The sequence below is a fragment of the Homo sapiens genome, chromosome 8, assembly GCF_000001405.40.
Source record: "Homo sapiens chromosome 8, GRCh38.p14 Primary Assembly".
Classification (NCBI taxonomy): Eukaryota; Metazoa; Chordata; class Mammalia; order Primates; family Hominidae; genus Homo; species Homo sapiens.
Window position 1 is genome coordinate 3,830,985 of NC_000008.11, and position 22,742 is coordinate 3,853,726.

General features: G+C 36.4%; 1 protein-coding gene across 3 annotated transcripts in view, besides 1 other annotated feature; it reads right to left on the reverse strand.

Moving 5' to 3' along the window:
* The window catches only part of CSMD1 (CUB and Sushi multiple domains 1), a 2,059,554-nt gene that overhangs the window by 895,624 nt on the left and 1,141,188 nt on the right, over positions 1–22,742 (reverse strand). The gene's annotated exons all lie outside the window — the stretch shown is intronic.
* Positions 16,931–17,703: an enhancer, noted in NCBI's record as "OCT4-NANOG hESC enhancer chr8:3705437-3706209 (GRCh37/hg19 assembly coordinates)". NCBI's record gives its function as "activates a minimal SCP1, AML or CMV promoter by ChIP-STARR-seq in naive H9 embryonic stem cells {active_cell/tissue: H9 hESC(naive)}" and the evidence as "EXISTENCE:reporter gene assay evidence [ECO:0000049][PMID:30033119]".

The window sequence follows — 22,742 nt, forward strand, 5'->3', positions numbered from 1 at the left end:
TTTTCCTTCACCAAAAAATTTCTGCTTGTTGGCTCTGAAGGCAGCTTAATGCGCGAACAGGGTTTGGGTGTTGGAAATGTCCAGAAGAAAGGAATCAAATATTGAGTGTCCAATACCATTCAGAATTAAATGTTAACAATATTTCACAAATGCTTTCACAATTCAAAAGAAACCCAATTTATCTAGAGACTCTACATTGATGAGTGGATAGATTTTTCACAAAAGCATGTGGAAAGTTAAATAAAAAAAACAAAGTTTTGAGAGAATACTGCTCTTAGTTATTCCTGCTCGTCAGGGGAGCTGCCCTGGGGAGCTGTGGCATGTTGCATTTCGGACAGCTCCATCTGTCTCCTTCTGGAATTATTAACAGCACTTGCAAACTCGTCTTTCCAACAGAGACAAATGATTCTTGGAACTGCCCTCACAATGACCAAAGCTATATTAAAATTCCATAAGGAAACATCCAGGAGATTCCTTATAAACATGATATTGAGGTACTGAAGCCCACAGTGTAGATGCTTAAAAATTAATTTTGGAGAACAGGCTGGAGGAAAATGTTGTTTTCATATGCCTCTGTGCTCACTACAGCAATGGAATATCCCAAATGTCCTCTCTAATATTATAGCTTTTCATTGCACTACTTATGGGTTTTCCTTCAAAAGGAATCTATGACAAATTAAAATCTTTACCGGCAAAGGATATATGTTTGGAATGCCAATGAATTTACTATTGAAAAAGAATAGGTTTCCAAATACAGTTCTCGGATGGGTAGCACAACACATAGCCATTTGGGATATTTTTGCTCACACGCGGGACTGTGAAATGCTGCCCATCATAATCTGGAAAGCTACTGCTATCCTTGTTCATATAACATAGCATCTTTGTGATTCAGGTCATACAATATGGTAACCCAGAAATATCAAGACTTTTAAAATACCCCCCAGAGATTAGTCCTGGAAAGTTTGCAGAGTGTATTAGGTTTTGTACATTTGTGTTGCCACCATCCACATTTTTTGGTAAATTTTTAAAAATCTCTGTCCTTCTCTGCGTTGCTCTTATCACTGTTACCAGCCCTTCTTAATCAAGACTGGGTATCTCATGTGTGGAATCCTGCCTTATGTGCATGTGGGCAAACAGTAATTCTTTAGGGCTATTTATGGGCCAGCCTCTGAAAATTAAGAAAGGCAAACAGCCGTGGAGGCTGAGTCACGTGGGATGGAATAAGCTGTGCCCTGTCCAGACCTGGTACCTGAAGTCCTGCGCTTCCCTGCCTGATTTCCCTTATTCCTGAGTACACGGGATTATTTTAATCTTTACCGTTAAAACGCAATGATGTTCCTTGTTCAAAATATATACCGCAAATCTCCTGTCTAAAATATTTAGTTTTTTCTGGTGACATTTTCTCAATTGAATTATTTTAAACTACTATATTTCTCTGAATTGCCTTAATTATAAAGCGATTATGTAAGATAAGATTTTTTGTTTCTTGTTCTAAATGTGTATCCACATTTATCTGTTGCATAGCATCACTTATTTTAAACTATTTTTGTCTTATTGTATATGTCTGAAGCAAAATCATTTCAAGACGTAAAAAAACAAAAACAGAAATAACACAGCAATGATGGCATGGGTTCTTGAAGGAGTCGAAGATTTCAAGTACTTACAACGAAACTGAGATTCAAGGACCGTGGACACTATAGATTCATGACTGTATTTCAGAACGAAACAAAAATAGGACTTACACCATGATGACTTCTGATAACTAAAATATGATCAGATTTTTAACTTTCCATCTGATCCAGATTAGAAATACCTTCGCCTTATTAAAAATAAAATAAAAATCAATTTGTATGGTTATAGAAACACGTAGAAACATCTATTTGGAGAATCCAAGAAGAAAACCCATATTGCATAAGCAACACAAATAGGAGTACGTTTCCTTCAATAAAATTATTAAATATTTTAACAAGTGAATATCAATAATTGAGAAATATAGACACTGTTTTCTTTTTATATTAAAGTGTCAGCTGCTAAGTTGATACTATAAAGTAGTGAGGGCTTTCCATTTCATGGCAGCTGTTTGAATGTTTCTGATTTTTATTTTTATTTTTTCAAAAACAACTTCCCACTACAGGGAGCATGTCAAACGATCAACTTCCTCTCTTTAAAATTTCAGGAAAGTATATAATCACTTTAATTTGTCCAAAGAATTTTTAATCAAGAATTTTTTTGTCCGTACTGTAATTCTAACCATATTACACATGTTGATAATATCTGCATTTTGTCATTACAACACTGATATCTGTTTATTTTATGTTTCAGATTTCTATTCGGAAAACATTATTCTAAGCCTCTGGGCCATTTTATATACAACGGCATTTCCTCACCTCCTAAAATAATTTACTGCATTCAACTCCTTTTATATTTTAATTTTGCCATATTTTATATCATAAATATGACAGTTTACAAATCATTTATTAATGCTATCTTATTTTCCTACTATAACAAAGCCCTTTCCTCATTCATATTCAGAATTTTTTTCAATGAAGAAGCACTTTTTTTGTGTCCTAAGTGGTAATCAACTTTTTTGTTTTTCATAATTTTGATGATACTTTGAACAATAATTTCTTTAAAACACATGGAAGTGTCTCTCACAGGATGGTGTTTGTATGGGACAACTTTAAAAATAAATTATCCTTTTCTTCAATCTTTCTGACTGGTTACATATATATAAGGTCTATGTTGGCACTTACATGGATAATTTTTAAAATGTGGCCCTGGTTCTCTTCTCTTGGTAAACTTGGAAAAGAGAGGCTCATTAAAGATAAAACAAAATGGTTAAACAATATAAGACGTTTTTCTTTAACTCCCAAACTTTGATTTGAAGTGTAGTTGTAAACACCAAGTCTATAATCCTATTTTGTGAAATATCAAATTTATGTATTATTGGTTGGTTGTTGCTGTTGTTATTCTTTCAATTCACCTTTCCTATACGGTTTGAACACCACTTTTCAGGTGAATTAAGGATTTAAATATTTAACTCTTGACACGGTCACTAATGTAAAGTTTGGTCACTACTGAAAAAATATTATACTTTGATTTCCTTTCTTAAAATTGTTTTTGTTTTCCTTACATTTCTAATTGTCTTCAATTTTACTATTGCTTTATCTATATATACCTATTTTTTACCTATTCTATCAACAGTTATTTTAAAATTTTTTTTCTTTTATTTTGTAAAGAATTGCTCCTAAGGCCCCCTCTGTCCATATATTCTCATCTGTATCTAGGGCTCTTCCAACTGACATTCCATGACTTCCCTTTACCCTCTGTGGATGTGGCTTACTCACTGCTTATAGGTAAGGTGGGGACTGAGTTTAACCTTGTCTGCAGTTAATCAACCAATTGTGCCTGCACAGTAAAACCCCAAATACCCCCTGGAAGTGGGGCAGACTCACTGGGCTTCCCCGGCAGGCAGTGCTCCATGTGTGTTGTTCCAGGTCAGTACCTCGGTACTTAAGGGGAGAAACGGGGTAGAAGCTGCACTGTGCGTCTCTTCCAAAACTGGCTGATTTAAATGTATCCTGGCTGTATTACAAATATATAAATGTAACAAATGTGAAGGTAATACGTTTCAGAGAGTTCTTTGAGTCTTTTTAGTAAATTATCAAACCTGATGGTGGTTTAGGGATCCACAGAACGTGTAGTTGGTGTCAAAAGTCTTGGGCAGATTAGAAATTTGGACGGCTCCATTCTCGGAGGTGGAGCCAAGATGGCGGAATAGGAAGAGCTCAAGGCAACCTACAAAATGGGAGAAAATTTTCACAACCTACTCATCTGACAAAGGGCTAATATCCAGAATCTACAATGAACTCCAACAAATTTACAAGAAAAAAACAAACAACCCCATCAAAAAGTGGGTGAAGGACATGAACAGACACTTCTCAAAAGAAGACATTTAGGCAGTCAAAAAACACATGAAAAAATGCTCATCATCACTGGCCATCAGAGAAATGCAAGTCAAAACCACAATGAGACACCATCTCCCACCAGTTAGAATGGCGATCATTAAAAAGTCAGGAAACAACAGGTGCTGGAGAGGATGTAGAGAAATAGGAACACTTTTACACTGTTGGTGGGACTGTAAACTAGTCCAACCATTGTGGAAGTCAGTGTGGCGATTCCTCAGGGATCTAGAACTAGAAATACCATTTGACCCAGCCATCCCATTACTGGGTATATACCCAAAGGATTATAAATCATGCTGCTATAAAGACACATGCACACATATGTTTACTGCGGCACTATTCACAATAGCAAAGACTTGGAACCATCCCAAATGTCCAACAACGACAGACTGGATTAAGAAACTGTGGTCCATATACACCATGGAATACTACGCAGCCATAAAAAATGATGAGTTCATGTCCTTTGTAGGGACATGGATGAAAGTGGAAACCATCATTCTCAGCAAACTACCGCCAGGACAAAAAACCAAACACCACATGTTCTCACTCATAGCTGGGAATTGAACAATGAGAACACATGGACACAGGAAAGGGAACATCGCACCTCAGGGACTGTTGTGGGGAGCGGGGAGGGATAGCATTAGGAGATATGCCTAATGCTAAATGACGAGTTAATGGGTGCAGCACACCAACATGGCACATGTATACATATGTAACAAACCTGCACATTGTGCACATGTACCCTGAAACTTAAAGTATAATAAAATTAACAAAAAAAAAAAAAAAGAAATTTGGATGGCTCCACCCTTAACCCCACCATTTGGCTAACTCTGGGTGATTGTGTGAGTTCCTAAGAGTAATTTTTCAGTCTAGGAGTTCTTCTGTTCCTTAGTTCTTCTGTACCTTTAGTGCCTCTGTACCATTCGTTTTTTCCATGAAGGCTTTGATAAGACTTTTTTCAACATATTTTCTCCGTAGGAACAATATGGGTCCAGGAATAGAACTTTTGGATTAAGACCTTGACTCTCTTATTATTTCTATAAGATTCTATCATTTCTACTGTCCTCATTTTCTGTTTCATTAGCTTTTTCTAATTGTTTATTGATTTTCTATGTCTCTAATTTCTTAATTATCTTTTTAAACTTTTACCTATGTAAAACCACCTCCTATCCTTTGAAAGGTGTGAAGTTATTTTTTTCTTACTATATTCATTGTCTCAGTTTATTATAGATTTTTCCACTTGTTTATTTTGATCATGTCATCGGACATTCTTTAAATATCTTTAATATTTGGTTATCTGCTCTTATTTCACAATGTGGCATTAAAAAACTGATTGAAGCTTGTAACAAGTCAAAGCAGTTTGCCAGTTTTGGGTTTACTTGACAAAGATCTATGAGGAACTAGCTATATCCTTGTGGGAATCCCAAGGGTCTAAATACAAAGATGTTTTCTTAGGTGATGGAAAATTTCTCCAATGCAGAAATCTCCAATTTCTGCATTAATAGGGAAACTGTAGAGGAGATGTAGCAGAGATTGTTGCTGTATATACTAATTTTAAGCCACATCTTACCCTTTAGAGCAAGAACTAGGATGGAGTGAGTCAGAAAAGTGGTGATATTGAAGCTTGGTCTTTGAAGCATATTTAAGTAATTTATATTTACTAAATGGTATTTGACCTGAATCAAATTACACATTCACAACATGAGACACGTGAGTTCCTGTAATAACCTTTGTTCAATATGGTTAGAATTGGGAAAATAAACAGATTAGCAGAGTTTCAAGAGACAATGAAATTCAGGGCAAAAAAATGTATTTTCTCACTGCACAATCTTAGTGTTTTATTTATTTCTTCTCACAGTTTAAATAATTTTATAACTCAATTAAATATGTTAATATTTAAATGTTAAGTATTTAATATAACTTGACTAAAGCAGTTCTTTAACATTTTTTTTTCAGGACATTATTTTCCTAGTTAAATCTCAATGCACTAAAGTTGGCAAAAATAAAAAGTTTTATAAAAGAAAACAGAACTAAGATCCTTAATTAGCTACTTTAAGTGAAGTTACTCCCTTCTTGGTGGCCAGGCTGGGTCAATTGATGCCCATGGGTGATTTTCAACATGAAGAGCTAGGAAGAACGCTACCATTGAGTAGATTACCATTCAGTATTAAATGCAAAAATTGAAAGTGTAGTCACTAAAGGAAAAAAAAAAATCTGTTCACATCAGTTTCACAGTCTGTGGTCAAAGAAAACATTGGCCAATTATTCCAGAATAGATGTGCATAGCTAAAGCTTATTCAACCCTTTGTAATATCATTTTATTAGATAGATGAATCTCTTCAACAACAGAAGAAAATTAGATTGCAACTAGTATTCATTTCTACATCAGAGCCCCAGGCTGGAGCTATATTAAGCCACTAAATGGTCTGCAGAAAATTGAAGTAGCATGCACTTTGATCTCAAAGGACTGCCTACGTCACATATGACAGGCATTTATAAGAGAAGAGATGTCCTCCTGGGACCTAATGCTGAACAGCAGAAACAAGATGTGAGATCCTGAGGATGCAGAGACATTTAAAAAACAACACAGCCCCCAAGATAACATTACCAATAATGATACTTGAAATGACTGACAAGTAAGTTTAGAAGTCTTAATAGAAATTCTAGCGTTTGTGGAATTTTCTGCGGATTGTAAGAAAATCCCATCCTACATAGGCACAGGGATGTCTGCTCTTGAGTAGGAAGAGTAATAGAGGTTGAGAACACATAACTACCCTCTCCTTAAAATCCTCCTGGCTCCTCCCAGTTTATCAGTTCCATCTTTGTTTTCTCAGACTGCACTATCCACTGACAAAGAACCAGTGCTTCCCTCTCTATAGTCGCAGGAAATTCTATTGCCACAGCTTCATTCCAACCTCACAGGACTAGTTTTCATTTTCTTCTGTCACTTGGAAATGCACAGATGAATATACTGTTTTTCAAATAAATGTCCTTTAATTTATTTCTTATTTTTCATGAGTTGAAATCTAAACTGGCTTCTTGGACTTCTGATGCCCTCCCCAACTAATTATCATAAATAAATATGTATGTATTGATTAGTGTGACTTGGAAACGGTTGTAGGGCTTTGGGAAAGCTGTAGCAGAAACTGGAATTTCTAACTTGGGATTAGAAAACAGCCGCAAATATCAGAGTCCTATACTAAGTATTGCAGAATACAAATGAATCAGACACAGACCCTGCCTTCCTATGGATAGATAACTATGACAGAAATATATAGTACAACCTGCAGTCAGAAATTCACAAGTCTGGGCATAATGGCTCACACCTGTAACCCCCAACACTTTGGGAGGCAAGGCAGGAGGATTGCTTGAGTCCAGTAGTTCCAGACCAGCCTGGGTGATGTCGTGAGACACTGTCTCTACTATATATACGCACTATATATATAGCCTATATATATAGAGAGAGACTATATATAGAGGGAGTGTAAGAGTATAGACTATACATATATAGGCTATATTATATTATATATAGCCTATAGATATATAGCCTAGGCTATATATAATATAATATAGCCTATATATATAGTCTATATATGTACTCTCTGTAGATATATATAGTCTCTCTATATATCTATAGTCCCTCTCTATATAAATATTTATATATAATAAATAAATTAATATATAATAAATTAATATTATATAGTATAATATATAATAAATTAATATTATATAGTATAATATATAATAAATATTATATAGTATAATATATAATAAATTAATATTATATAGTATAATATATAATAAATATTATATAGTATAATATATAATAAATTGATATTATATAGTATAATATATAATAATTATATATACTATTAATATATAATATTAATTATATATACTATTATATATACTATTAATTATATATAATATTAATTATAATATATAATAATATATACTCTAGATATGTATAGTCTCTCTATTTATATATAATAAAAAATTAATATCTATAAATTAATATTATATATAATATATTATATATCATATAATTATAATATTATATATTTATATGTTGATATTATATATATTTATTATATATATAAAATATATAGCCTATAGATATATAGCCTAGGCTATATATAATATAATATAGCCTATATATATAGTCTATATGTATACTCTCTCTAGATATATATAGTCTATATATCTATAGTCCCTCTCTCTATATATTTATATATAATAAATAAATTAATATGTAATAAATTAATATATAGTATAATATATAATTATATATACTATTAATATATATTACTTATATATACTATTAATATATAATATTAATTATATATACTATTATATATACTATTAATATATATTAATTATATATACTATTAATTAGAATATATAATATTAATATATACTCTCTCTAGATATACAGTCTCCATATATATTTATATATAATAAAAAATAAATATATATAATAAATTAATATTATATATTATAATATAATATATTATATATTATATAATTATATTATATATTTATATATTAATATATATATTTATATAGAATATAAATATATGTTAAGATTTTATATATTATATATATATTATAATATATAATATTAATTTATTATATATATTAATATGATATATATAGTTGCCCACTGCACTCCAGCCTGGGCAACAAGAGTGACACTTCAACTCAGAAAAAAAAAAAAAAGAATCTATCTCCTTCATTTGGGAGCTGTTGTGGAGAATGAACAAGTCTCTTTAAAGCACTTCGCTTGCTGTTAAACCCATGAGTGCTGCCACTGCTCAGAGAGTTTATATTTGTTCCCAGAGAAGCTGGTGGCCAAACTAGAGACCAAAGTGCACAGCTAAATGGAGGGAACATTATGGCCTCTTCTACGGGCGGCAGTTTCTAAGGATCAGAACAGCCTTTTGAGGTAGTAGGTACCTAGAAGGAATTCACAGAGATGCAGTGATCTTCTGCTCTGGATATTTGGAGACTGAAGCATTGGGTGAGATGTTGAAGGATGCATTTAAAGGTCATGTCAAAGCTAAGCTCCTAAGAGTCCTATGTTTCTAGGAATCCTCTGGGTTGATTTTTTAATATATAATAGCTCTGCCTATACTTTCAATGAATATTTTCTTAATTGTTAAAAAGACCTATTATGAACAGCTTGCTTCCTTTATACTTAATGTTTTCTCAACATGCCTAAGCTATCAAAGGGCCTTCATAAAGTAACTAAATGCTTCTGTATGTTTGAACCTTTGAAAAAAAAAGAGACAGCATAAATTAGCCAAATGGTGAAACAGATGTTCAAGAATGGCAAAGCTCACGCAGGAGGCTGAGGTGCCAACTAGCATCTCGCTGTCCTGTTAACAGAAATATCCTTGAAAACTCTAGTGCACAAATATGCTGAGGGAGAATAATAGTGTGTAAATAAGCAAAATAGATAACGTTGTACTTTATTTTATTGTGTTAGTAGCAAGAGTACCTCTTGCCCTGAACATAATAGGCATTCAATAAATCATTGACTGAATAAAAAATATAGGCAAAACAAAACGGTAGAGGAAATGCATTCATGTAATTCAATCAAAATGCAAGCATGCCTCCTTATTTCAAGTTAAAACATGTGAGTGTATGTATAGGTGTGAGTTTATGATATATCTGTGTGTGTGCACTTGCTAGTGTATAGGATATTGAGGTCACTATACAGTGACCTCAATTCTTTTTTTTAATTTTTTTTTTTTTTTTGACACGGAATCTATCTGGCTCTGTCGTGTAGGCTGGAGTTCAGTGGCAGGATCTCAGTTCACTGCAACGTCCGCCTCCTGGGTTCAAGCAATTCTCCTGTCTCAACCTTCCAAGTAGCTGGGCGCCTGCCACTACGTACAGGCGCCTGTGACTACGCCCATTAATTTTTGTATTTTTAGTAGAGACGAGGTTTCACCATATCGGTCAGGCTGGTCTCGAACTCCTGAACTCAGGTGATCCTCCTGCCTCGGCCTCCCAAAGTGCTCAGATTACAGGCATGAACCACTGCAGCTGTCCGGTGATCTCAATTCTTTGGTACATGAGTCTTAGGGCAAAATTCCAGGACAAACACTAAACTACACTGATTGATGTTAAATCAAGTATTAAATAGAACTTTTCCAGGAAGCCTGGCACTATTGGCCCCCTCATGAGGGTACTCATCGATAAAATGGTGGAAATTGTGTTTTTATGTATGTAATACAAAGGAATTCCATACAATTTCAATAAACTTGTTTGGAAAGGTTTATATTGAAAAGTTTTAAATAGTTCATGAGCTTGATTTTGAACTATCTTTAAAACTAAATTAAAAAATGCATAGATTGGCAAAATAAATTGGCATCAAGTGCATTTTTGGACTTCTTTAACCATGCTTTCGTTATGTGGTTCTCAACCTCAAGCAATGTGTTTGATTGCTTTTATGGAGAAAAGAAGAAAACAACAAAACAATCTTTGACATTCTTTCACTTGCAAGACCAAGCACTGCATTCCCCATTCCCTTTTCATTGCTCTTCTATGATTTGTGGGGATGTCTAGGGACTTGTAAAATTCCACAAAGCACATATATCAATTAAATTGTTTATCACAAAATCACCAAATATTAGCACTAGAAAGGATTTTAGAACTGGATCCTAGTTTTTCAGGTCACACATTTTTAGAGGTTCAAATAAAAAAAAACCATGAATATGATTCTAATTTTAGAACCTAGTGATTATAATATATAATATCAAAACTACAATAGTTCCCTCCTAGCTTTAACTGAGCTACATTAATAACATCCACAGACAATGAAAATTAGTAAATACGTGCAAATCAGCCCATGATCTGTGTTCAAAGCACCGAGACTTTGCATCAAGCTAGCAGCTCCTCAAGGGTCCTGGCCCTTGGGTTGGCCACACTGGCCACGGCAAAGCCTTTCCCATGGGATGATCTTCCCCTAGCTGATCCTCCAAAAAGAAAAGGAAAGTTACTGCTTCCAAAAGCAGTTTTTTTCCATCGTGTTGCAGCATCAATTTGTATATCGAGTTAAAAGCTCCTTTCTTTCTAATGCATACCCTTGTTCTTAATTCTGATAGTTAATAAAACACACACTAAATGTAACTGGAAAACACACATGCCTTCATTCTGCCTAATTCAACCCCGATCTCTTCTCCTTGTCAAACAACCTCAGGTTTTCTTAAAAACTCGTTTTCCTAGCATCATTGTAATATTCCCATTTTCCAAGCCTCTTGTAGAATCATCTGCTTGTCCATTTCTCTGTTAAACATTCAAAACTAATTCCCAATCTTCTTATGAGGTTCTTTCACTTTTCATTCCAGTAGTTTCTATTGGTACACTCTGACTCAATTAGGTTTTAGATACCCATATCAATACCACTAATAATGTATACTTAAACAAAAATCCTGACAGTTGGCTGTGCATGTCTTATAGTCTCAAGACTATATTTTAAACAGATGTTAAATGATTTTATTCTCATTGTTCATTACTAGTATTAAATATTTTTTGGCTAAATTTCTAGGGAAGAAGTGGGTTCCAATTGTAGATCTAGGTCAGAAATTGTAAATCCTGGGGACACAGTAGTAGAAATAACACATAAATCTCTTGCCTATATGGAAGTTACATCAAGAAGATGTTGACAGCTAGAGTTTCTATTTTTTAGAACACTCATAAATTATGTTGCATTTCAAAGAGCATTTGAAACTAAAACCAAACTAATGAGAAACCTGCAAAAAATGTGTCAAGATTAAAATTGGGAAACAGAAAAAAAAAGAAGAGTTAATATTTGATTTCAAAACTGTCTTTTAAAAAGTTGGAATGTCAGTGTTCAAAAATACATTAGCAGATGGCTGCTACAATAAATGGGAATATAGGATTAATATCATTTGTTTCACAAACTTGACATTACAAATAAAAATATAAAATTTTAAAAACGCACTGAAGATGTTCCTAGAATTGAAACTACAAAAAGTCAACATTAGCTCACTCAATTGTTTAGTTTGCTCAGTTTGATTTCTAAAGCAACCCTGAAAAGTAAGGATTATTAGTATTCACATTTTGCACATGATAAATGTTGTAATGAGTTTCTATTTCAGTATCGTTTTCTCTTTTTATTTATTCTTTAGAGAGTTTGAATAAATGATTCCATAGCACATCTAATGGAATCAATTCTCAATTTTTCACTGTCATGGCTTGTAAATTGTTTGTTTCCTTGAAAACCTTGCTTTCCCATTTTTTTGTAATTAACACAAAATCATCTGCTGATAAACTACTCCACTAAAAATACTTTCGTTGTTTGTTAATGAGTTTATCTTTTTATACTAATCTTTACCTCATTGAACGAAATCGTTTGAAGACTTTATTTACTGAATATTTATTGTGTGCTTACAGTATGTAATTATAAGCAAAGATATTTCAGATATTTAAAGTCAAAGTTGGTTTCAGAGTAATTAAGAATAACAGCCAGCCAAAGATCAAAATGACAAATTACACTCGGACTTTGTGTACATGAAACATGAGACAGATATGAGAAAAATGTGAAACTATATAAAAGTAAAAAAAAAACAAGTTATTCACGATGCTTTTATGTCAATGCATCCAGTTGGAAGTTTAATATTTGAATATTTTAAAGAGAAATTTGTTATAGGATACCATGGAATGCATTTTCAAAGAGACAGGCCACGGAGTGAGTGACGGGAGCCCACAGTGGGTGGAACACAGACCTAGTTTGAGCACTGAAAGGAGGTGGCTGGTCTTCGGGAAATGTTTTAAAGCATTTGATTCTCAGATCCACCATCTGCAAAATGTGCATGAAAGTAATACTTCCAAGGCTTGTTTTAGGAATCAAATGGATATAATGTACCTTCGAAAGTAAAGAGGGACAGATATTGTGAGTACAATTTAGAGTAACGTAATTTACACCCAGCAGAACTTTCCATTGCATGCGCACAAGGTTATCTGAGAACAATGATGAGGAACTCAGAAAATGTACTCAAACGGCCAAATGTCTAGCATCCAGCACTGATAATATGTAGTCATTGTTATTACAATGGCACAATGTTAATATAATTAAATTTCCATCCCACTCTCAACAAGGCCATCTAAACCTGCCCCTCCTACCATTTTTATTATATACATAAGAATAGTACTTTAAAAATTTTAAAAAGACAATATTGGCATTAACTTAGAAAGGCTTATTTTTATTTCCTCTTTAAGAAGGGTGTTGAAGAATGAGTCTGGCTTGTGGCTAAAATCTCTGTTGAGAGCAAGTTCCTGACGGATGGGTGGGTGATATTTAGTGAGTCAAGGAAAATTAATAACAGCATTGGTGGATCAATTTCAAGTCAATGACAATACTTCAGGAAGTCCCAGAAGTTCTATCTGGTAGACACACATACACCTCACTCACCAACAAATTATTGACAAAGAATAATTCTAGAACCTTTACACTATGATCCATAGGAGGTCCAGGGAGTTGATGTATGGATTCAGAGAGAGCAATCTCTTTGGTAATGTGACTAACCGTAACTTCATCATCTTTTAGCAGAATTGTCACAGAGGGAAAAATTGGATTTTTAGGAAAGTAATAACTAGAGGCCAATGTCATTTGAAAAGGCAAGGGGGTGTCCTCCCATCTGCAGATGGAAGGAGAACGGTGGGTATGCAGCTGGAAATTCACTATTTGAATTCATCATTGTCGGGAACTGCAGCCTCACTAGTTTTATTTCTGATAAACTGAAATACAGATCTTCCTTGACAATGAGGTCATGTGACCTCAGAACTTATGAGCGAAACATACTCTGCCACTTCTGTTCATAGAAGAATCAGAACAGATTTTGTTTTTGTTTTTGTCTTTTGAAGGGAAAAATGTCTCTTAAAATTTAAAACTAAAGTTTTTTCTAAAATTCTTGTCAATATTTGTCTGTGCATTTAAAAACTGCCATCAGAATGCTTGATTTTTATTTTAATGAATTAAGATTTTAAAGATGTGATATGCAGATACTGCACAAACTTTAAAAGTTAACAAAGGTTATTGATGTATAATTTTATAACACAATAAAGGTCTCCTGTGATTAGACTTTCATATTATAGTTTAAAATGCATACATATATTTAGAAGCAAGAAGTATCAACTATAAGGCAAATCTGTAGACATTGAATTGAAGGCAGGAAGACAGTTTATGGGAATTAGAAAACACATACCGTTAGGAAAATAGTGCAACTATGCATCTCCTAACAATGGAGATACATTTTGAGAAACACATAGTTTGCTGATTTGTCCTTGTGCAAATATCGTAGAGTGAACTCACAGAAACCTAGGTGGACTAGCCTACCACACACTGAGGCTCTACGATACAGCATGTTGCTCCTGGACCACACACCTGTACTGCATGGGACTGCCCTGAATACTGAAGGCAATGGTTACACAGTGATAGATATCTATGTATCTAAGCATATCTAACCACAGAAAAGGTACAGCTGAAAAATCAGCATAAAAGATAGAAAATGCTACACCTGTACAGGGTACTTGCCATGAATGGAGCTTGCAGGACCAGAAGTTGCTCTGGGTGTCAGTGAACGAGTGATTATGAAGGCCTAGGACATCTCAGTACACTACTGCGGGATCTATAAATGCAGTGTACTTAGGCACACTAAATTCATTTAAACATTTTTTTGTCTTCAATAATAAGTTAACTTTAGCTTACTGTAACATTTTGTATTTTATAAAGTTTTTGATTTTTCATCTTTTTTACTCTTACAATAACACATAGCTCAGAACATACTTTGTACAGCTGTATAAAATATCTTATTTCTTTATATTTTTATTCTATGTGCTTTCTTCTATTTAATTTTTTTTTTACTTTCTATACTTCTTTTGTTAAAAATGAAGACACAAACACACACGTTGTCCTAGGCCTAAACAGTGATCATCAATATCACTATCTTCCACCTTCACATCCTGTCCCACTGCAGGCTCCTCAGGGGCAGTAGTACCCATGGAGCCGTCACCTCCTATGAGAACAATGCCTTCTGGACATCTTCTGAAAGAGCTGCCTAAGACTGCTTTACAGTTAAAATTAAAAAAAAAATAATAAGCAGCAGTAGACTTCTATAATAAAAAGTATAGTAATTATATAAACCAGTACCATGGTTGTTTATGATCAGGATCAAGCATTATGCATGGTACATAAGTGTATGTGCTAGGCTTTTATATAACACACTATACGTTTGTTGCCACCAGCATCATCACAGATACGTCCACAATGCACCACGCTATGGCATTATGATCGCTACCATGTCAATAGGTGATAGGAATATTCCAGCTCCATGAGAATCTTATCCAACCACCTTTATTTACATGGTCCATAGCTGATTAAAATGTCTTTATGTGGTGCATGACTCTACATGTGAAATAGATAAACATATGTAAGTTTTGATTAGCCCCAACTGATCAAGAAGATGACAGTTACTCAAAATAACCTTCCTCTCAGTTTTTTCACGTGTGAAACTCAGATAAGCATAGAAAGTATTTCACAGGAATGGTGGGTGGATTAATTGGGCTAGAGCATATGAAATGTTTGACTTTAGATTAAGTTGACATTTAAAATAAATATTCACAAACATTAGCAGTTATTATCATTAACTCACCTTATTTCTTTAGCCTAAGGATTTATTTAATTATTTATTTAGTTTGAGATGGAGTTTCTCTCTGTCGCCCAGGCTGGAGTGCAGTGGTGCAACCTTGACTCACTGCAACCTCGACTCACTGCAACCTCTGCCTCTCTGGTTCTAGCGATTCTCCTGTCTCAGCCTCCCAAGTAGCTGGGATTACAGGTGCCTGCCACCACGTCTGGCTAATTTTTTGTATATTTAGTGCAGACAGGGTTTCATCATGTTGGCCAAGCTGGTCTCAAACTCCTGACCTTAGGTGATCCACCCGCCCTGGCCTCCCAAAGTGCTGTGATTACAGCCGTGAGCCACTGCGCCTGGCCCCAGGATTTACTTTTTAAATATGAATTTTCCAGATCCACAGCAGATCAGATGATGCCTCTTAGCAATCTAGTCTCAGGTTTAGAAGCCCTTCCAGGGTGGGGGAAGGCAGGATCCTAAGAGGACCTCCATGCTCCTGAGGTCTCCTCCTCTTGCAAGTGGGCAGGACCTGTGACTGGCTTTTAACCAATAATGCCTGAACCTTACAGGTGGCGCGGTGTCACTCTTACCATTATGTTACATTACAGGGCAAAGGTGAAGACATTTTGCAGATGTAGAAAGGTCCCTAATCAGTTGATTTTTAAGTTAATCCAAAGGCAGTTGATTTGGGAGAACCTGACCTACTTAGAGGAACCCTTAAAAGTGTTCCAAGTCAGAGAAGGAAGCAGAAGTGGTCCCCTCCTGCTGGCCTCCCGGAAGGCACTGCCCAGTGTGGGGAGGGACAGTTGGCTGCGAGCAGTGGGCAGTTTTGGGGTCCTGAGCATCTCAGCCCTATACTTGCAAGGAGCTGAGTTCCGCCAACATCAATATGAGTATGGAAGATAATTCCAGCCTAAGGTGAGATCACAGACTGAAGGAGTCCTTGACTGCTGCTTCTTGAGGCCCTGAGAGAAGACTGGGGTAAGGGGTCCTTGATTCCAGACCGATGGAGCCCCGAGAAAACACGGATGCACTGCCTTCAGCTGCTGCATTTCTGGTCATTTGCTACTCAGCCATGGAAAAACTAATACAGAATGCTTCCTTATAGCAAGTCTCAATCCCTGACACTGCAGTTCCAGCTCCATATGTTCCTTTTTATCATAAGTGATTAGGAAATATAGTTGGGTGCCAATAATTGCACATCAAACCTCATCTTGACTGATTTAGATGTATTTGCTCCCATTATGCGCTCCCTATAGCTAGTCTGACTTTTCAACTCTATCCGTTTTCTCTCCTTATAAATAAAGGTAAGTGCATATTTTCTTGGCTTCAAAACAACCAATGATTTTTATTTATTATTTATTTATTCATCTCTATTCTGTGTATCTTGGATGGGGCACTTCTTTCCTGACACATGTTTTTATTTTGTCTAATCTTCTTACCATCCTGGTGATATTTCTCTCTCTCTCTCTCTCTCTAAATATATATACTTACTTAGTGCTCATATTGAATTTATTTTTGCTGTGACTGCTGTATGTGGTGGATGAGAAGTTGGCATTTTTTACAGGCAAAAGCCAATGTCAGGAACAATCAGAAGTTGTCAGGACATTGATCCTGCCCTTAATACCTGCAAATCCTCAGCTGGACCCAAGTGTTCTGCCCAACAGGGGAGCTCATTCTACTGCGATCCCACTAACAACAGAGATCACCACATCAAAAGGAGCAATCTTATTAAAGAGAGTAACTAGAAAAAGACTCATTTTTTTTCTCAGCCTTCTCTAGGCATAGTTGGTGTTTTTTAAAACACAATTAGGAGTTATTTCAACTAATAGTTACTTAAGTTCTCTGAGTACTTAATTCAGTTAATTGATCTGGATTTATACTTTCCGATTTTATAGCAAAAGCCTGAGAAGTTACTTAATTTACTCAATACCACTTTAATTTCACCTTTGTGCTGCTCCTTGTAAATATGTACTTTGAACTGCTCAATTTCCCTCACTGTTCTAAAGTGCAGAGAATAGATGGAATTTAATTTTAAAGCCAGATTTTTCATTTCAGATCCTATTATGCTCCTTGCACCATCTGTGTGATCTGATCTCTGAAAATGCAATGGTCTTTTAGGTGGTCCTGAACTACATGTGTCTAATTATAATTGTCAAATATTTAGTACTGTAGAAAAAAATGATTAGCAGCGATTTTAAAGAAAAAGTGGTACTTTATGAAAGGATGTTTATAAAGCACACATTTTTTTCAGTCCAGAAATGCTAAAGAGTGATATAAAGAAGATACATATCTAGATATCATATACATATATCATATATATATGATATATATATGTATATACTATTGCAAAAATATACTCCTAGTTAATCTTATAATAATGGACTTTCATACAGAAGGTTCTCTGCTCATATAAACTTAAACTTAGTGGCATGCAGTTTTGGCCCTCAATATACAAGATTCCATTTAACAGTTGAAGGGATACTTTTGTAACAGAAAGTTACACTGAAAGACAAGGAAGCCTAGGATGATAAATGGAGGTGTCTTAAACGATGACATTAACTTAGTTTGAATGAAAAATCAACCTGGGAATGGTTGATGAGAAAATGATGGAAAAGAGGAATAAAACGAAACAAAACCACAGGAACACGGGTGCATGTGAATGTGCACAGACAAAGATACAGGGCGGACTGGGAAGGAAGTTTCTGCACCAGAATTTGGGGAGATGAAGTGGAGAGAGGTGGGGTCCACTACCCGCAGCTGCCATCACAGGCGCCAAGGAAGGACGGACGAAAGGGAGTCCTTGCTTAAATGTCAGAAAGTAACCCTGCTCCTTCTGGCGGTTACTCCTTTTAGTTACATCTGAATTGGAATCCATCAAATAAATGAGTAAATGAGTAGCTCGACGGTTAGAATGACGACTTCAGCAGAAATTGGTATCTGCAATTCAAATGAGTTCAGCTAATGCTCCACATGGGAAAAGAACAGTGATTCCTGGGCCTGTCTGCTGGAGCCTACCTGGGGAACAAGGTCGAAGTCCCCAGGGAGGGGTCGATTTTAGTGATGTTGTCAACTGCTGAAATCAGGATCGGCACAGGAAACACAGGGTGTAAACTCAATCTTTATGAAGCTCTTGTACAAATATCTTTTGAGAAATGATATGTTTTTAAAGATGATATTGTGAGACAGAGTATATCTTTTTTTGTTTGGTTTTTGTTTTTGTGATGGAGTCTCGCTCTGTCGCCCAGGCTGTAGTACAGTGGCGCAATCTCAGCTTCCTGCAACCTCCACCTCCCAGTTCAAGCAATTCTCCAGCCTCAGCCTCCCAAGTAGCTGGGAATTACAGGCACCCACTACCATGCTCGGCTAATTTGTGTATTTTTAGTTTCACGATGTTGGTCTCAAACTTCTGACCTCAGGTGATCCACCAGCCTCAGCCTCTCAAAGTGTTGGGATTACAGGCATGAGCCACTGCACCCAGCAAAGAGTATATCTTTTTGATACATTTGGGCGATGTCGCCATTCTTAGGGCATATCCCTTATGAATTTCAAGTGTCTGCTGTATAGGCAAATTTTGAGACTGTTTACACTTTTCTTTATATCAAAGGCTCCAAACAAAAGAATAAAAAACCAATAGGTAAGTCCAAAGATAGAATCAATATGTGCACAGTGTTCTCTATTTTGGTTTCAATAGCTTTGTTTTCCATAGGGTCTCACCCCTGACTCTTTCTACTATCCTTGCCTTTTCTCTTTGTCCTGTAAGCACTGACACTGAATTCAACTCCTCAAAATTCGCATTAAGCCTGGCATGGTGGCTCAGGCCTTTAATTCCAGCATTTTGGAAGGCTGAGGCAGGCAGATAACTTGAGGTCAAGAGTTCAAGACCGGCTTGGCCAACATGGCAAAACCCCATCTCTATTATGGATACAAAAATTAGCCGGGCATGATGGCTCTCACCTGTTTTCCCAGCTACTTAGGAAGCTGAGGCAGGAGAATAACTTGAACCTGGGGGGCGGAGGTTGAGGTGAGCCAAGATCGCACCACTGCACTCCAGCCTGGGTGACAGAGTGCGACTCTGTCTCAAAAAATAAATATAAATAAACATAAAAAAATAAAACAATAAAAAAATTGAAATTCGCATTTATACACATCACAGGGGTGTGCCTTAGTAGTGTGTGAAAGTCCAGTCAAAGGAACAAAGCTCAAAAGTTACTGAAGGATAAAAAATGATAGATACTCTACAGACTCAAGAAAGAATTTATTTCAGCATTATTATCACAGGAAACAGAGTTTAAAGTTTTCTAATTTAAAAGAAATAAGAATTACTTCTTTTAACTTGTTGTTATATAAAATAACAGATGAGTATAATAAGTGCTTCAGCTTAGATAAATATCTATGTGTTTTTCCTGCAGTGATGCTCACATAACAATTTGTAGAAATGAATGTAGAAGGAATATTTCAAATCTATTTAGGTATAATTCTAGATATCATTAAAGATGAATTGTTTTCCATGTAAAATAAGATTTCTGAGGAGCTAATTTGTGACAGGATATATTATGATATCAGTTTTCAAAGCATGAGCCTGCTCATTATGCTAGAAGGTAGAATATTTGAAATAATGAATTTGCATCTAGACAAGGGTGCATATCAGGGCAACACAAAGTCTTTAGGGACTGGTCTTTTCATATTGACATTACACACATAAAAGTGGGAAATTCCAACTTGATAGCCCATCCATTCCCCAAATGGCCATCCCTGAACCACTTTTGTTATCTCTTTTGGCATGGACATATGTAGCACTACCAATTTCTCAGTGCTGAGTATTGCACTTCTACTCATCAATTATCTCAAGGGAAAAAGTACAAAAAGAAAGACCTAGTGTCTTGAGACTTTTTGGCTCTGTTTGATCAGGTGGTCCCTGAAAGGTGAGCCTCTGCACCTTGAGCAGCAACTCCCTGCTGCAGGCCAAGGGAGGGCAGGGTTGTCTCTACTTTCACTGGAGAAAAAAACATCCATTGCTAACTTAAGCTTTAGGTGATAGACAATAAGAAACAAAGAAAAGGGTGAATAGCAGAAGAAAAGAGAAAAAAGCAGAAGATAAATAATTAAAGGAAAGAGAGAGAACAAGAAGGTGAGGAATGAAGAGGGAATGTATAAGGAAGTGACCACAAGTCAGGTGTGAGTAGAACACGTGGTTCTAAGGATGAGAGACTGAGGGCGCCAGGAGGGTCGGGTGGGAGCAGACATGGCCATGCAAAGCCAGTGGGCTCCATGGATCAGAGATTCTGGCGGGGTAGAAGTACTGGGGGCCTGAGCATTGAAGAATATGTGAGCTAGAGAGATAGCAGGTTAGAGAGAATAATTCATAAAACTGAGAGCATGGAGGGGCTGCAATCACCGGTGAGGACAAGTTCCCTGGACCTGTATGAAAAATAAGAATGGTTGAGGCAGACTGGAGGAGATCTTTGCAGAAAAGGAATTCAAGAAACAGAGGCTCAGGTTGTTGCAAAAACCATCGATACAAATACTCTATAAGAATACTTGATTCTACAAGAATCTAGTGGAAGTACGGAGAGTATGTCCCTAAATTCAAGGACTGGGAATGGAGGCGCAGGAACATGCACCAGATGTGGGGAGGTGGTAACCATCCTGTAGGCAGTGGATGCAGCGAACTCCTGCCCCAGAATCAGAGGTGGGGTTTGTAGGGAGCAAGGGAGAATGGCCCGAAGGAAGCAGTGCAGGATAAGGGACACCCTCTCTACTCCCAGCCAAGTGGATGAGCATGTACAGTGAACCACACTCCCCTGTGCTGCTGGTCAAGACGTCGGGAAGAGGGTAGGGCTGCAGGGCTGCATTCAGAGAATAAGCTGGGATATAGAAGATGCTGACAGTTGACGATAAATTCCAGAAAACATAGTAGATGGTGTTAGGGATTGAGGAAGGTGGGAGGAGGGATGGAGTAGAGGACTTACTCGTGTCAGCTATCTCAGCATTCACAAAAGCAGAATCCTGGCTTCATCAAAGTGACCAAGGGGAAACTGAGGCAGGCCAAGATGAATGGTGATGGGGGTGGGGAGGAGCCTTTGGAGGCTGTGAGGGACGGGAGAGATGGAGGGTCAGGTAAGCGTCTGCATCTCCCGCTGCACAGGTTTGTAGGATCCATTCCAGCCTCTTCTGTCTCCTCCAAGCGCACGCTTCAACAATTCTCCGCTTTCTGTAACCCACCAGGGATTCCTCTCAGCAGAATCAATCCCTCCAGCATCCACGCAGGTTCCTATTTCTCTCATTTTAAAATATTTTATCTTGATCCCACCTTCCTCACTAAATATTGCTCCATTTATTTGCACCGCTTTATGGCAAGGCTCCCCAAGAGTGTTCTTGACTTGACATCACCTCGTCCCCAACATCCAACTACATCTCCCGTCCTCATGTCATCAGTCGAGCAACCCACGTCACTCCATCCAATGCCTGCCACCCTGACCTCATCATTCTTGATCCAAAAGCAGCAGTGGCAGCAGGTGGCTGAGCCCGCGTCCCTTGGCTTCAAGGACACTCCTCTGAGATGCTGCTTCCCTTCCTTCACGATTGCATGTTTTCAGTCTTCTTTGTTGGTTCTTCCTTTTGGGGATTCATTCCTGAGGCTCAGGAGAAAGCTGTGAGTTTTCTTTGTGATCTTCATACCCTGATCAATTTTTCTTCTCACCTGACACTTATTATTTCATAACATGCTCCACAATTTACTTTAAAAAGGTATTGTTATGTAATGTAATGCATTGGTATAGCACGCTCTATAATTTACTTTAAAAATGTATTTTCTTATTTACTCCCAGGAAATGGTAAACTCTGTGAAGGCAAGGATCTTTGTCTACGTTGTTCACAGACACTTCTCAAGCATCAATATGACTGCCTTGTTACTAGAAGATGCTCAATCAATATTTATGTAAGAAAGTGATTATGAAAAAAATAAGTTAAATAAAAAAGAAGGCACTTATGAAAAAAGAAGGAGACCTTGTGCCCCTGTGAGCAATGCTCCTCCGAAGGACCATCTTCCCTAGTGTAGAAGGTGGCAGTGTGCAGTTGGATAAGCCTCAGTAAAGAAACCACCTCGGGGTGG